The sequence below is a fragment of the Homo sapiens genome, chromosome 1 (genome assembly GCF_000001405.40).
Source record: "Homo sapiens chromosome 1, GRCh38.p14 Primary Assembly".
Lineage (NCBI taxonomy): Eukaryota > Metazoa > Chordata > Mammalia > Primates > Hominidae > Homo > Homo sapiens.
Window position 1 is genome coordinate 36,960,626 of NC_000001.11, and position 15,935 is coordinate 36,976,560.

Below are 15,935 nucleotides of genomic sequence, written 5' to 3' on the forward strand. Positions count from 1 at the left end.
GAAATAGAGGAGCAGAGCAGAGCCCTGTATCCAGCCTCAAGGCCAGTCCAATCAGCACCTCCCAGACTTCCGCTGCTAAGCCTGGCTCCTTGGAGGCTGCTCCATTCACCCCCTAGACACAGAACTGCCCTCTGGGCCTATTTGGTCAGCTCTGCTGCCTGGTATATCAGCATCCCTCCTTCCCCCACCCTGCGATGACCAACCAGGCCGAGGGAGTAAGCATCTCAAGGTCCCTTCTAGCCTAGGACAAGCTGGGGAGATGGGGTGGGAGACAAAGTGCAATCCCTCAGAGAGGAAAGAGTGCTGATTTGGGATTCATCAGGGAAGCACAACACATAGGTCACCACCAAACAGCTTTGGGGTGGGTCAGTGGTCATTCCACTGCTAAAGCCACATACATGGAGACGACCTGTCTTCAACTCTCATATCCCAGGAACAGCAGCTCTCTTGTTATCCTGTCCCTGTTTCGCTGGTTTCTGCAGACATCCGGTGATGCCTCTTCTCCCCTGCACATGGAGGTAGGCTCCATGCAACACACTGCGTGCACACACGTGCCCACCTGTGCACACACCCACATCCTCACTCAGCCGCCTGCCCTCAAGCACCCACCATCCCTCCCTCCACAATCCTGCCTGGCTCAGGCCCAGGCTAGGGGTGAAGGGGCATACGGAGGCAAGCAGGAAAGGGGCCTTGGCCTGAATTCCAAAGTCTGAAATAGCCCACCACAAATTATCTTTGTTCTGACAGGCTGATTAGCATAATTATCCCATCAGAGGAAAAAAAAGCAGAAGAGAGAGGACGAGGACAGTGGTAGAAAGAGAGACAGCCAGGGGCAGAGACAAAGAAAGCAGCAGGCACTGAGAGGGGTGGCTCTCAGGAGGCCACAGCCCACGAGCAAGCACAGATGCCCACCGGGCCCCAGGCACAGCCCTGGGGGAGCCCCTTCCCTCCGACAGGCCAGGCTTGCTGTGGGCTTCAGGGCCTATCTGTGAGACGGGAGGGCTCAACAAAGTGATCTCCAGGGTCCTGCTGGCTCCGACATGAATGTCTCGAGATGGCAGAGCCAGGATGTGTTCGATGAAATCATTTTGCCGAAGGATGCAAAGACCCGTGAATGAAGGTTGTCCTGCTTTCATTCAAGTCACATCTCTTTGTTCTCCAGCCCACCTTATCAAGAGCCCAGAATGTGAGTGCCCCTGCTCTGCAATGGCACTGTCCTAGGTGCGGGGGACTCAGCAGTAATCAGGACAACCAACCACCCTTGCTCTCGAGCTCACAGCCTGGTGGAAGGGGACAGAGAAACCCAGCCAGATGATTCCACATGTGGTGAGAACTGGTCTAAGAGCCAGAGTCCAGGGTGCTCTGGGGATGCAGATGAAGGACCCCTGATCCAGACATGCTGGTGGGAAGACACAGAAAAATTCAAAAGGAAGGGAGGCTCACAGAAGGACTGAGTGATGGGCAGTTGCTGGCCAGGCGGGGCAGGAGCACCGGCCCTGCACAGACAATTCCAGACATCACGAGGCATGGCTTCTGCCCCTGGCCACCCAGTACCTGCTTCTGAACAGGTTCGCATGTATCAGCTTCTCCTCTTCTACTAGATGCAAAGATCCTTGCAAAGAGGCACTCTCCATTCCTCTTATCTCTGTCACAGTCCTGGGCACACAACAGGCTTAATACATCCTCACTGAATGCATGTTCGGTCCATTCCCAGAAACAAGCCACAGATGGAAGATCCTAGCCTCAGGTCCCTGGGGCTCCCTCTGGTATCCCCTAGGTACATGCATGCCCCAGGGGTTAATCTCAGCCCCACGCCGCTTTTCAAGAAAGAATTAAAGGGATGGGTCTAGATTCAGGGGAAGGAGACAGGAAAGGGACTGAGGGCCAAGAAACCCAGAAGACCTGGAGACTCCTAAGCCAGGGCCCTGGGTTTGTGTGCAGTGGGGCCTGAGGCGAGCAAGCAGACGGTGGCTGAAGTGGTTAGCGGTGGAGGAAAGTGAGAGAGAGGGAGAGGAAGAGAGAGAGAGAGAGAGAGAGAGAGAACAGAAGTGAACAAAAAGTCAGAGGGAGAAGGAGATATGGAGAGGCAAAGAGAGGGACCAAGCCAGGTGGATAAAGACCAATACAAACGGATAAAAAATGAAGGAAGGAGGGAGGTTGAGGCAGGAGGATAGCTTGAACCCGGGAGGCGGAGGTTGCAGTGAGCCGAGATCGTGCCACTGCACTCCAGCCTGGGCAACAGAGCGAGACTCCCTCTCAAAAAAAAAAAAAAAAAAAGGAGGAAGGAAGGAAAGAGAAAAATCTAGAGGGACATGATGAGGAGAGAGATGACCTGGGGTGGGTAGAGGTGGCCAAGGGCAATGCAAAGGACAGAAAGGGTGAAGGAAGACAGAGTCAGACAGCTTCCATTCCAGGAGGAGAGAGGAACTTGGAAGGGGGAGGAGAAGGAAGGACAGACATTAGCCAACCCCGAGGTCAGGGACCGAGGCAGGGAGCCCAGGGGAGGGGTCGGCTGCATGCCCAGTGTCGTCTCCCCATCTGCCTCTCCACAGGAGCTAATCCTTGGTCTTCCACTCCATCAGGCTGGCAGGACTCTCTCCTTTGCCTCCTGCCCACTTGGCTCCATAAGTACGTCTGGGGGAGGCAAGCGGCGGTAGCAGGCAATAGAGAAAACAGCTCTGGGAATAAACAAACCCCCCGCTCAGCCTCCTGAGACCAGGACACTCGAGACGCCAGGCAGAACGTGAGAGTCACACCAATGCTTCCCAGTGATTTCCTGCATGCCTGGGAGGAGGCTTGGGAGTTGCATTAATAACTACGATGGAGAGGAACGCCTTCTGTGTGGCACGCACTTGCTGAGCTCCTTCCATGCATTATCTCACTGAGTCCTCACAACCACTCTGAGCCGCATGCCATTACTCGCTCCCTTTGAACATCTGAGGCTCAGAGAGGTCCAAGATCTCACCCAAAGTTGCACAGCTGGGAAGTGGTGGAACTGGGATTTGAACCCCTGCTTTTAACTTCTATTCCTTGTGATCTATAAAGAGGAGTGAGAGTGTGCTGGCCTCTCTGTGAGAGTTCCCCACCTCTGAAGGCCCAGCTTCCTTTAGGAAACAATCCCCAGTGAGATATCCCCCTCAACCCCCAGCAGCCTCCTGAATGCTTTCCAGGTTGGTGTGACCTCAGAGGCACCTCTGCATTGAATGGCTGTATGGACAAGGGCCTCCCAAAGCAGGCAATGCATGGAACTGAGTCTCTGGTGACCTGAGCCTCAGATTGTTTCCATTTGTCCATCATCCCCAGGGACAAAGAAGTAGCTGGTGAGGATGAAGAGACAGGGTTTAAAGCCAGAGCCTTCTCCTAAGGACAGGCAAAGGCCTGGGAGGCCAGCTGGGGATTCTCTGTACCACCGTGGTCATGAAGACCCCATGGACAAATGCATGCAGAGGCAGGAGGTGCTAAGAAGCCGTGGGCCTGGCCTGGGCAAGAAGAGAGTCACTCATTAGTATGGGGACACCAGGCTGCTTACACAGCTGGGCGAGGTCTGGCACAGATGGACCAACTGTGTTGGGCTGCTGTACTCCTCTGGACAGCAACAGAGTCCTCCTCCAGGTCTTGCCTGGAGACAAGCACCAGCTGAGGGTTCAGGATTTCTCAGAACTCAGGTGACCTCCCTGTAGAGGGGGCCCCTGAGCCCCAGCCTGGCAGCTTCATCTACTGCAGCTGGCAAACTCCCCAAGGGGAGGAAATCAGACCATGAGGCTCCATGACTCAGGGGTGGCCTCCACACAGTGACCCCTCTCCCCTCCTCACACATGCAGCATCCATAGACAAGTCCGGCCACTGGAAACCGAACCCCCACATCTCTGCCCTTCTGATAAAATCAGCATGGACCAGGGCTCCCTGTATGTGGGGCTCTGACTTGGATACTTTCTCATGTTCATCTTTTATAGTTTTCAGTTACGCTGAAAGGGTCAGCTCCTGATGCCCATTGGATAGATAAGAAAATGGAGGCTCAGTGAAGTGACTTGCCCAAGACCATGCCCACAGTGAGTAACAGTGCCTGATTTCAAGACCATTCATGTCCTTTCCACTACCCACACCCCTGCCAAGACACCCCACGTGATATGACCAGCACAGCCATCACTAATAGCATCAAACTCAAACCTCAAGTGCCACATTGAAAAGAGGAATCCCCAAGGCATCTGACAAATGTCCTGTGGGGGAGAGAGCACATAGGAAGACCCCCATAGTTGCCAGCTGCCACCAATCACAGCCCAAGCCCATTAGCTGAGTCAGTTTCCTAGGAAAGGTTTTGAAACGCTGTTAATTCCCCCAATTATAAGACAAATGTTTGTTGATCCTCTTAAGGTTTATCACATAGCAGTGCTGCCTGAGTAACAGCTAAATCCAAGGGGCCCAGTGCCGTGGAGTGGAAGGCGTGTGGTACCTGAAAAAGCAGGCTCAAATCTGATCCCAGAGCTGTCCTCACTCAGAGTATGACTTTGGGCAAGTCACTTAACCATCCTAGACTTCTATTTCCTCGCCTGTCAAATGAACGAGTTGAATTATACGGTACCCAAAGTCCTCGCGGGCTGAACTTTCCAGAAGATGGTGATTCGTGATTCAATTAAAGTTTACCAGGCTGCCTATCAGAAAATTTAATGACTCTTCCAAGTTGACCAAGGCAGGTAAAAAAGATTATAAATGTAATTTCATTGAAATGGGAAAAGATGAGAATAAGCAAGCAAATAACATCTTAACACAGAGGCCACACTCGCCAGCGAACAGTGAGTCACTGCCTTTGCGTGGGGGAAAAAAGGAATGAAATTGGATTCTCTGGAGCTCACATGGACTTGTTTTCCCAGAGACTTGGAGAGGGCTTGCCATAGCCAGGGGATAGATGAGACTCTGGGGGTTAACTAGAAATGGGGGGAGAGAGGTCCCAGGGGAATGTGATTTAAGCCAACCTAAAAGAAGAATTTATGACAACTGCAGTCATTTCTTCTCCATTTGACCCACAGGCCTCCAGACTTGCTGAGATGTGGCTCTGAAAGATTCTGAGATAGTTTAGATTGAGTCCCAACGGGAATTTTGTTCCCAGGGAGGTTAAACGTTCTCTGTGGAACCTCAATTCCCTAAGAAACATTTGCAAGGAGGGTAATTTAAGCAAAAATACTATTTGTTTCCCAATTTACAAGCAATTACACATGATTTACAGCCCAGCTTGCCTCTTGCACAAGCAGCTCTGTAATTTACAAGACCATAAAGTCGGGGGCTCCCATGCTCCCGCCACAATAAATCTGGCCTGGATGGTGACTTGGGGCGGAAATGATTAATCTGCCCTTCGAGGGATAAGCCAGCACAGTGCTATATTAGCCAGGGAAGCATGGTGCTGAGACGGCACTTCTTAGCCCCACCCGTGACACCTGTTTTGCTCTAGAAGAGAAATATGCCCCATGGTCCCAAGAGACAGGGGTATAGGACATGCTAGCCAGGAAAGGGTGCCAGCCAAGGGTGCAGGTCCAGCCATCTGTGCACTGATGTGCACCTTATCTGTTATCCTGAGGGTTTGCCCCAATCACCTCTCCACAGGCCCAGTTCTGCATCAGCTGGGGCAGCTTGTGGCAGATTTGTGATGTCTCAAGCTGGACATGGGACCAGACAGGCTATCAGGCAAGTGTCAGACGGAAAGGTCATGGTTTGGCCTGGACTGCAGCTAAAGAGTTTGCCAAGCCAACAGGGGCCTTGGACGTTCATCAGAGCAGTCAAGCTTGGACTGGGTGGGTCTGGATCAGAACCTCTTTGCCAGGACAGAGATGGCTGGGAGGTCAGCACCAGGGACAGCTCCAGCAAGGTTCTGCTTGGCTAAGGCTGAGGATGACCTTGGTCTTTTGACTTCCCACAGTTGAAGTTAGCGGGGGAGTGAAGGTGAGAAAAATTTCTAGCTTGAGAAGCCTGGACTAAGGCAGATCCTAATCTTTGTGGATCCATGTAAGAGCCCTCTTTTCTTCCTCACGAAGCCGGGTGTCTCTGGACACCGAGAGATCACTCTGAATACCACTGAATCCTTGATGGATTTAATCATAGCTTATTTCCAAGATCCTCCTCATCAGAACCCTCTTCCAGGATACAGACCACCCCCCCAACCCCTTGGCATTCTCATACTCATATGGATTCTGATCTTCAGGCTTAGATCCTGAGAAGAAAATAATAATAGAGCCGGGCATGGTGAGTCCCTCATTCATTTATTCACCAAGTATATAATAAGACCCACTATTTGCCAGACAATGTGCTTGTTTTGAGGGATACAATGGTTTAAAAAAAGATGTATGGAATCCTTGCCCTCTTAATACGTGAGAAGGACAATTAAGTTAATGTTAACAATCATGAATATTTGTTGAATTATTACTAAGTATCAGGTCTTGTGTTGGGCCCCTTTAGAGACAACATCTCACACAGTTAGCAAAAGGAGGGGCTAAAATTTGAAGTCAGACATCCTGACTCTAGGGCCTTCCCTTTTAACCACTAGACAATGACAATATAGTTTGATCAGTGCTGTGATAGAGTGCAAGAGCCTTTCTGGTCCTCACTTCTCTTCCCCAGCTCCTGGTCCTCCCTTCTTCACTGCAAGCTGAGACCAGGGGGTATGTGCACCTCTGCCCTTTCTATTGGGACCCACAAATCTCTGAAGTGCTTCTCACTCTGAAGCTTTTCTCTGCCTTGTCCTGGATTTCTGCTCCAACCTCCATGCCCAGCAGGGCCTGACTACCCTCTGCTCAGGGATCACTCTACAGCATATAGCTCATGGCCCTGAGGGAGCATGGGAAATGAGGGAGCAAGACTCATGGGTCATCTGTGTCTCTATGGAAACACTGACACCAGGAAGCAGAACCACAGCCTATGGTCTGGAAAGGAGGAGGTAGGTGACAGGTAGGAGGTAAAGAGGAAGTAAGATGGAAAACCAGGTAGGAAATCCAGCTTGACAGACACAGAGTGATGTGGACAAAGGGTGGGGCCCATCGGCAATGCTCCTAGAAGGTAAATGACAAGAGGTGAAGGGCAGAGGGTTAAGATAATGCACTTGGGTGCCAGACACACTGAGTCAGAAGCCCAACTTTACCACCTATAGACAGGTTACTTAAACTCTCTAAGGCTCTGTTTTTTCCATCTATAACATGGGGCTAATAATAGCAAAAGCACATCCTGTTATGATAATTGAGATAACAGATCTACGATAAATAGTAAGCACTCAATAAATGATAGCAATAATGTGATAATAATGACATACTTTGCCCAGTAAGCCTGTCCTGAAGGACCTGGCCCCGGGTACCTGGGAACAGAGGCCCAGATTCAGTGCCAGGTCCTCTGGTGTGTTTGCCACTAGGCCCTCTGTCGTACTGAGAAACTGAGCTGGCAGAGCACTGGGGTTCTGTGATGGTGGCAGACTCCCTGCCCCAACCCTGCCCCAGCTACCCCCATCTCTTGCAGGTAGAAACATCCCTGGAAGCTTTTACCATGAGTGATGGGAGCACTATTATTCACTTCCTCACAGTTTCACCTGCTCTTCTCTCTCTCTTTCACTCTCTCTCTCCGTGTGTGTGTGTGTGTGTGTGTGTGTGTGTGTGTGTGTGTGTGTGTCTTCTTTGTTTCCCTCTGTTCATGCTCCCTCCATAGATTTATTTTTGTCTCCGCCCTTCCTGTCTTTTCCTCTCCCCCACCATCACTACCACTACCCCGCAGGGCAGGATAACTGGTGGCCATTGGGAGTGACACTCATTCCCATAAGGCAGGTCAGAAGCACATTGTTAAGGAGGTTGACTGAGTATCCTACCCACAGGTGTTGATACTCCCCCAAGATTAGGGAATGTTTTAACCTCTTTCCAAACAAGCTTTGGGCAGCTCTGAAAATACCTCCACCTGCCCTTTCAAGGGCCCCTTGCTGGTAGCTCCTCCACCTCTCTCACATGCACCTAGTCAGCCCACTGGTCACAGCACAGGAACATGGTCACAGTTGCTGCCCCTCTTTACAATCTGGAGCCTCCACAGCTGCTGGCCCCACCTGCCACAGCTCCACGTGGGGCAAGGCCAGGACTTGCTGGGGTCTTTGCCATGACATTCAGGCTGGCAACTGGGTAGCAACGTGGCTCCCATTTCCCCAGCAGTGGGTGTCTCAGGAGCAGATGTGCCTGTCGGGACAGCACTGACACCCCCACCTGGGAAGCACTCTCTACTGTTGTTTGACAATTGACAATTTGAGCAAACAGAATGACTCATCCAGAGACAAAGCCAAGGCAGGCAGCCTTTCCAACCCTCTCCCAAGGGAGGCAAACTAATTTGGGGGCCTTGTCAAAGTGCCAAATCCCTACTCTCTCTACTCCCATGAAGAAGCCAGATTAATGAAATTGATACCATATGCCACCCTCTCTTCCCCCAAATTACACTGGCTCCCAAGACAAAGCAACCCTTCCAGAAAACCAAACCCGCATCCTCCAGCTCATCCCCCAAGTCAAAACCTGAAGGTTACCATGCCAAGAGTGTCAACAGGGGCTGAGCAGGGCCCCACCAATGGCAGGAGCCAGTCAAGACAGCCAGGGGGAGAAATGGACCTAAACAACTCAGGGAGGTCACACCTGCCCCTCAGAAACCAGCAAGGGGCTGTGTCTGGTCATCCTCTCTCCATTCTGAGAACAGTGAACGTTTAATAAGGAGACGGGGCCCATATTCAAATCTGCCACCTGGGAGCAGAGTTAGATTTGGGTTTTGGTTTTGTTTGGTTTTTGGAAGCAAGTTTGATCTTGACAAATTAACTGCCTCCCAACACACACATAATCATTGACAGATAGATTTATTTATCCATTCATTCAACATTTGTTGGCACTAACCATGTGCCAAGCCTGTTGCTAGGCCCTGGAGGTGCAGAATGAAAATCCTAATGATGGAATAAGTACTGGAGTAGAGAGAGTAGAGACCTGCATAAAGTACCCTGGGTGTGCATGATGAGGAAAGAGTCACTATTTTCTGAGGATATTCGAAAGGGCTTCATTGTAGAGAGGACACTGGCATAAGCAACAGGATAAGTGAAATTCACCAAGGGAAGACACGGAACTCACAGAGTTCAATGCAGTCTTGGGTCCTGGCTTCAGGCCATAACACACATCTTCTCAAAGCCAGCTGGGCACAACACACCCAGAAATCACAGAGCTTTCCATGAAACCCCATGAGGATGCGAATGGACAGAACTCTATTATGTGATGTAAGAACAATTCAGCTAATCGAAACTATGACCATATGAAAAATGGCAATATGAAATACTTTCAAAAAATTTGGCAGGGGAAAAAATATATAACATCAGTGTTATCTCCAATGGCAGTGTGAAGGGCAAGGTTGACAGGTAGGGTAAGGATGCTTGATGCCAGGTGTGATATCCAAAAACTGAGCAGTCATTCATCACGTCAGCTGCTTCTGCTTTCTGGAGACCTGTGTTAGCAGCCACCAAAGGTTTAATAAACACATACAGAGGCAGAATTGACTGGGAAAATTTTATCAACCAACTACACAGTTTCTGCAATTTGTGAAAAGACCACTCTCTGCTACGAGCTGGAATGGGTCTCTCTGCTCCTGAAACTCCCTTAATGTGAACTAGGAGGTCATCCGTATGTCTTCCACAGGTGATGAGTGGGGCCACCGTACCATATCAGGCCTCATTGCCCTCAGGAAATTCCTTAAACACCGGAGTCTGATATCGGAGGTCCGCATATACTGACTCAAATGACATTTCTAGCCTTTCTCTCATTCCAATCCTCTAATCTAGCTGGGTCATTCTATGCACCATTCACCTCACATCCTTTACTCTTTTGCCCACCATTGGAAGCTCAATTCCTGGCACAAAAATTGTACTCAGTAAATATTTTATGAATGAATAAAAGGATGGATGGGTGGATGAATGGTTGGACAGGTCAGTGAATCCTACCACTATGCCATTTTCTCTGATTGGAATAAGTCTCCCCAGATCCAGCTTGTCTTGGAGAACTGGCTCCCAACACTTCTCTAGGGTTCCTCTTCCCCAGCCCACTCCACTGTACATAGATTACTTGTTCCTCTTCATTGCTGGTCATGGGTCTGCCATGCTCACTGGGAAATCAATTATGCTTTGATTCCACAGATTGCCCTGCAATGTCTCTTATATTCCTCTTGGTTTTGTAATTGGTTTTTCATGACTTTGTTCCCCCAATAGCCTTTCACTACCACAAGAAGAATGACCCTATATTTTATTCCAAGACAGTCCTGGACCATTGGGCCAGTCCAGTAGGAACTGACTAGGTGATGATGTGCTCACAACAAGCCCTTGTTGGGGAGCCATGCAAAGCTGTGAGACACCACCAGCCAGGCAAAGCAAAATTGGCCTCTCTCTGGCTTTACTGCTGTGGGACATTGGCTGACCACTTGCCTCTGGACCTCCAGGACATGCTTAGTCTGGCTCTTCTGTGGCCCTTCCCTTGGAGAACCTCCTTCACCTCCTGGTTCTGGTAGGGCTGTCAGTCATAGAGCACCTTCTCCAAGACATAGAGATGGGCAAGTGTCTAAAATGGCAAAGCAGCCTCATCATCCTTCTGACTCCAGGATAGCCACATGACCAAGTCCAGGCCAACTGGGAGGGCTTTATTCAAGAGCTTGGAGGGGAAACATCCTTCCCATACAAATGGAAGGCTGCCTTTGCCGTAGAATTGAATGAGGCTGCAGCTAGGCCTCACAGAAGCAAAGTCAAGGGATGGCATGGCTTGATTACCCAGGTCTAGCCACATCTGAACCAGTCTACCCCTAGACTGCCAATTCTGAGGGCCTGCTAATTCCCTTTTTACTTAACACACTTAGAGTTGGGCCTCTAAAATCAAGAGAATCCAGAGTCTAAGTCCTCCCCTCTGTGCCTTAAGAAGGATGAGAGATGCGCAAATTGCTCCACTTCCAGAGAGGGACAGTGGGGAAAGGTTATACTTGGATATCAGAAGCCTCTTAGAAGTTCTTGGCAGCTCCTAGAACCTTGCCCCAATCCCAGGGAGGCTTCTGGGTGGCCTTCGGCAGCTCTGATCCTCAATGCTCAAAGACTTCTAGGTGGATAGCAGAGTGAAGAAGACTGCTGCCTGCCATCTCCTCTCCAGCACAGTCATCAGCATCCACATTCCCCCACCTGACACCTTCCTTTTCTTCTGCTCTTCTTGCAGCCACATTATATAAACGGGCCCACCAATAGTCACAGAGGCCTGGAGACACCCTTTTGGAGGGAACAGGGAAACTTCTCCAGCTTACCTCTCTGTGAAGTGCTTCTGCGGCAGAACCACTCCCCAGGGCCTGGCACCATCTGTTGTTAGAAATCCCCTTTGCTAATTATTAAACTTCTCTGAATGGAAATGAATCACGGAGCCAGGCAGGAGGGGGCTTGAGGAGGCACTGGCAATTTACTTAGCGGCAGTAATCATCCCAGCCAGGCCACACGCGGAGGCTCCTGATCCATCTTTGGCATGGGCTCCGCCACGTGCTCCGCATCCCAATGAGGCTGTGATTTCTGAAGGAGAATCCACAGGGCCTGGGAGGCCTGGGAATTTCCTGCAGAACTTCAGTGGTCTGGAACCTCCTTGGAGCCCCTAAGGACCCCACTCTGCCTAGGCCCAAAGAGTCAGCCAGGGCTGAAAGTGGACAGATCCTGATGGAATGGACCAGGCCTTCCGTACTGATTCCAGCATCTTGGAAGCAAAGTAACAGGCTCACGGCACCCCAGCCAGCTCCTGGATGAGGAAATACAATGATGTAATATGATCTTGTCCCTGAATTACACCACAGAGAGAGTGGAAGGGGTAGGAGCAGGGTCTTGAGAAACGGGAGGTGGGTTCTATCCTAACAAGGGCTCCCACAACCTCCAGGACTTCCCGTTGCCACTCTTATTCCCCTTTCCCTCAGGTGGGCTGAGCCAGGTTACGTTCAGGGAGTCAAAATGAGTGTAGGGCGCTAGGAAAGAAAATCCCCATGTCTTGAGCACTTTCAAGGGTCCAATCTCTTTGCTGTTTTCTCATGGAATCTGCCCAACAACCATGCAAGACAGGCATTATTCTCATTTAACAGACTAGAAAACTGAGGCTCAGAGAGGAAAAGTGACTCACCCAATGTCCCTCAGCAAGCTGGGAGCAGAAGTCGGCCCAGTTCCATGTGACCCTTTTCTCTCTACTAGACTAGGGGCCAAAGGATGGGGCAGAACATCTGTGTCCAGAGGAGGATTCGTTGACACTCAGGGAAAGCACATGGGGGCCCAGGGTCTCCATCATCATCACCATCAGTTCTGAGCTTGTACTAGGTGCCCACTGGCCTTGAAAGTACAAAGACCTGAGAGGTTCCCACTGTAGTCCCTTGGGAAGAAAGTCAGGTATCAGTGACCCATGCCAGTCTGGTATCTGCCCCAGGACAACAGAGGAAAAGCAAATCTCCAGGCAGTCCCTTCATGCACCTAACCCTCCCTTGTTCAGATACTTCCAAAGCTACCCCCAGCCCTTAGGATAGCATACAGAGGCCACCAGGGCCCTGCAAAGCCTGTTCCCTGCCTGCCTCCTTAGAAGCAACACTCCACCCCTCCTCCCTGCGTTGGCGGCGCTGGACTTCTCTGGCCTAGGAAAGTGCTTGCTATATCTGCACACCAGGCCTTTCCTTGAGCTGTTTCTTCCACCAAAAACACCCTTCCCACACTCTTTGCCTGGCTACCTACTCCTTCTTTGAGTGTCAGCTTAGACATCACTTCTTTTTCCTTTTTTTTTTTTTTTTTTTTTGAGACAGAATCTCGCTTTGTCACCCAGGCTGGAGTGCAGTGGCACAATCTTGGCTCACCACAACCTCCACCTCCCGGGTTCAAGCAATTCTCCTGTCTCAGCCTCCCTAGTATCTGGGACTACAGGCATGCGCCACCACGCCCGGCTAATTTTTTTTTTTTTTGTATTTTTAATAGAGATGGGGTTTCACCATATTGGTCAGACTGGTCTTGAACTCGTGACCTCAGGTGATCCACCTACCTTGGCCTCCCAAAGTGCTGGGATTACAGGCATGAGCCACCGCGCTGGGCCTAGACATCACTTCTTTAGGGAAAAACTCTCTCAAAGCATGAAATGAGGCATGAAAAATGATTTCAGATGACGTAGGAGACGTTTATGATGCTGCGTGCCACATCCTCCCAGCTCACCTGATTTCAGAAGAGCTGTCATGGACAGTACCCTGCCCTTGTCTCACCTGAATTTTGGGAAGGTCACTCAGCCCCTCATGAGAAAGCAGGAAGTGTGAGGGGGAAGTAACATAATGGGTGTTGGAAATTGCAGACATGTGCCCAGCTTCTCTGTCCTCCAGTGAGATGACTCTGTGGTGTGTTTTGCTCGGTTCTTCAGGCCTTCATGGGATTGAGGCCCCAGCAAACCCATGAAATACTGGGCAGCAGCCAGCTCAGCATTTCATTGGCTTTTATCCCTTCCCTGCCTCAGTTTCTCCACACCTGCACTCCTGCTTCCTCCCAAGTAAACTACCTGCCCTCACGTCCTTATTTTAGGCTGTGCTTTCAGGGCAGGTGATCACAGAAAACTCTTTTTATTAGGTTGGTGCAAAAGTCATTGCATTTTTGGCCATTACTTTCAATGACAGAAACCGCAGTTACTTTTGCACCAACTTAATCCTTTATTAGTTATGTACCTATGGGTTAAAATATGTTAACATATATATGTTTAACACATGCATATATTAAAATATAAACAGCACAGATAATAGCCCAAAGGTGGAAACAACCCAAATGTCCATCCTTGATGAATGGGTAAACAATGTGGTATAAACACAAATGAAATATTATTCAGCCTTAAAAAGGAATGCCAGCCGGGAGTGGTGGCTCACACCTGTAATCCCAGCATTTTGGGAGGCTGAGGCGGGTGGATCACGAGGTCAGGAGATCGAGACCATCCTGGCTAACACAGTGAAACCCCATCTCTACTAAAAATACAAAAAAAATTAGCCGGGCGTGGTGGTGGGCGCCTGTAGTCCGAGCCAATCGGGAGGCTGAGGCAGGAGAATGGTGTGGACCCAGGAGGCGGAGCTTGCAGTGAGCTGACATTGCGCCACTGCTCTCCAGCCTGGGTGACAGAGCGAGACTCTGTCTCAAAAAAAAAAAAACAAAAAAAAAGGAATGCCATTCTGATACATGCTACAATATGGATTAACCTCTAAGTCATGCTAAGTGAAATAGGCAAAACACGAAAAGACAAATATTGTATTTATTCCACCTATATGAGGTACCTAGAATAGGCACCTTTATAGAGACAGCAAGTAGGACAGAAGTTACCAGGGGCTGGGAGGAGGGGTAATGGGGAACTATTGTTTCATGGGTACAGAGTTTCTGTTTGAGATGATAAAACAGTTCTGGAAATGGACAGTGGTGATAGATGTACAAGATTGTGAATCTACTTAATGTTACGGAATCAGATACTTAAAAACTGTTAAAATGGTAATTTTTATGTTCTATATAGGTATCACAATAAAACATTTTTTAAAACTTTAAATATACATAAATAGCACATTGGGACTCAGGTTTTCACAGATAACATCACCCAGGACAAGGCTAAAAAATCAATGAGCTTATCTAAAGTTGGTTTTTTTTTTTTTTTTTTTTGAGAGGGAGTCTTGCTCTGTCGCCCAGGCTCGAGTTAGTGCAGTGGCACGATCTCAGCTCACTGCAACCTCCACCTCCTGGGCTTAAGTGATTCTCCTGCCTCAGCTTCTTGAGTAGCTGAGACTATGGGTGCATGCCACCATGCCCAGCTGATTTTTTGTATTTTTAGTAGAGACAGGGTTTCACTGTATTAGCCAGTATGGTCTCGATCTCCGGACCTCGTGATCTCCCGCCTTGGCCTCCCAAAGTGCCGGGATTATAGGCATGAGCCACTGCGCCCAGCCTAAAGCTTTTAAAAAGCAAAACAATGAGAAGTAAATGATCATGGAGATCGGTATGCTGCTGGGCAAAAATTGTGAAGGAGGAATTTAAACTATCGGTTTTGGGAAGCCCTGCCCTGAAGGAGATGATATCCCCACTGCTGCGTGCTCCTGAGGCACCCTCCACTTTCTCCTTTGGTGCCGCTCATTACAGCTGCAAATTCTTATTTCCTTGTCTGTTTCCCCACTGGCCTGTAGGTCACATGAGAGGTCACATGACAGCAGTAAGCCGTCTACCCCATTCCTTTCTGTATCCCAGCATGTAGCAGGTGGGAAGTGTTAATAAACAAGTGCTAAATTGAATGACATGAAATTCGAATGAGCAGGAAGGCCTCCTGAAAGAGGAGAGTCTCCAAAAGTGAACAGGATTTGCTTTAACAGCAAAGAAGCAAAAGAAGCAGAAGAGCATCCCAAGGAGCAACCCAAAGTAGGAAGACCTGTGATGTGTTCTGGAAGCACTGGGTTCTCCTGCTTGGCTACAGCAGGGGATGGACACATGGGAGGGTGTGTGTAGTGGGGTAGTCAGAGAGGAAGCTGGATGTGCGATGGGCCCTTGAATGCCAACCTCAGGCATTTGAGTGAATCCTTGTAAGCCAACAGGACAGTGACAGGGGAGGCTCTCGACTCCTTCCCTTTTGCCAGAGTTTTAAATCTCAGCTACATTCCCCCCAAGACAGGAGGTCCTACAGGGCATCTACGACTTCTTACATTCTATGCAACTTATTATATGAATGTGCATTTTTTTTCGGGGGAAAAGCGTTTATCATTTTCATCAGGTCTGAAAAACCTTTGTGACCTCTTAAGCAGTAAGATGCTCCTGGCTCTGGGGAATAAGCCAATTGGGCAGGGTCCCACTCAAATTGTCCCCATCCCCATGGGCCATGGACCTTGGCAGACAAGAATGCCAAGGTGGACAAGGTCTACCCAGTGAT

The 15,935-nt window shown here is 49.6% G+C and overlaps 1 protein-coding gene across 1 annotated transcript in view, besides 1 other annotated feature; it reads right to left on the reverse strand.

Moving 5' to 3' along the window:
• Nucleotides 1-15,935, reverse strand: part of GRIK3 (glutamate ionotropic receptor kainate type subunit 3) — a 238,989-nt gene that overhangs the window by 165,099 nt on the left and 57,955 nt on the right. The gene's annotated exons all lie outside the window — the stretch shown is intronic.
• Nucleotides 5,740-5,940: a silencer, noted in NCBI's record as "peak179 fragment used in MPRA reporter construct". NCBI's record gives its function as "represses an SCP1 promoter by STARR-seq MPRAs in K562 erythroleukemia cells {active_cell/tissue: K562}" and the evidence as "EXISTENCE:reporter gene assay evidence [ECO:0000049][PMID:32103011]".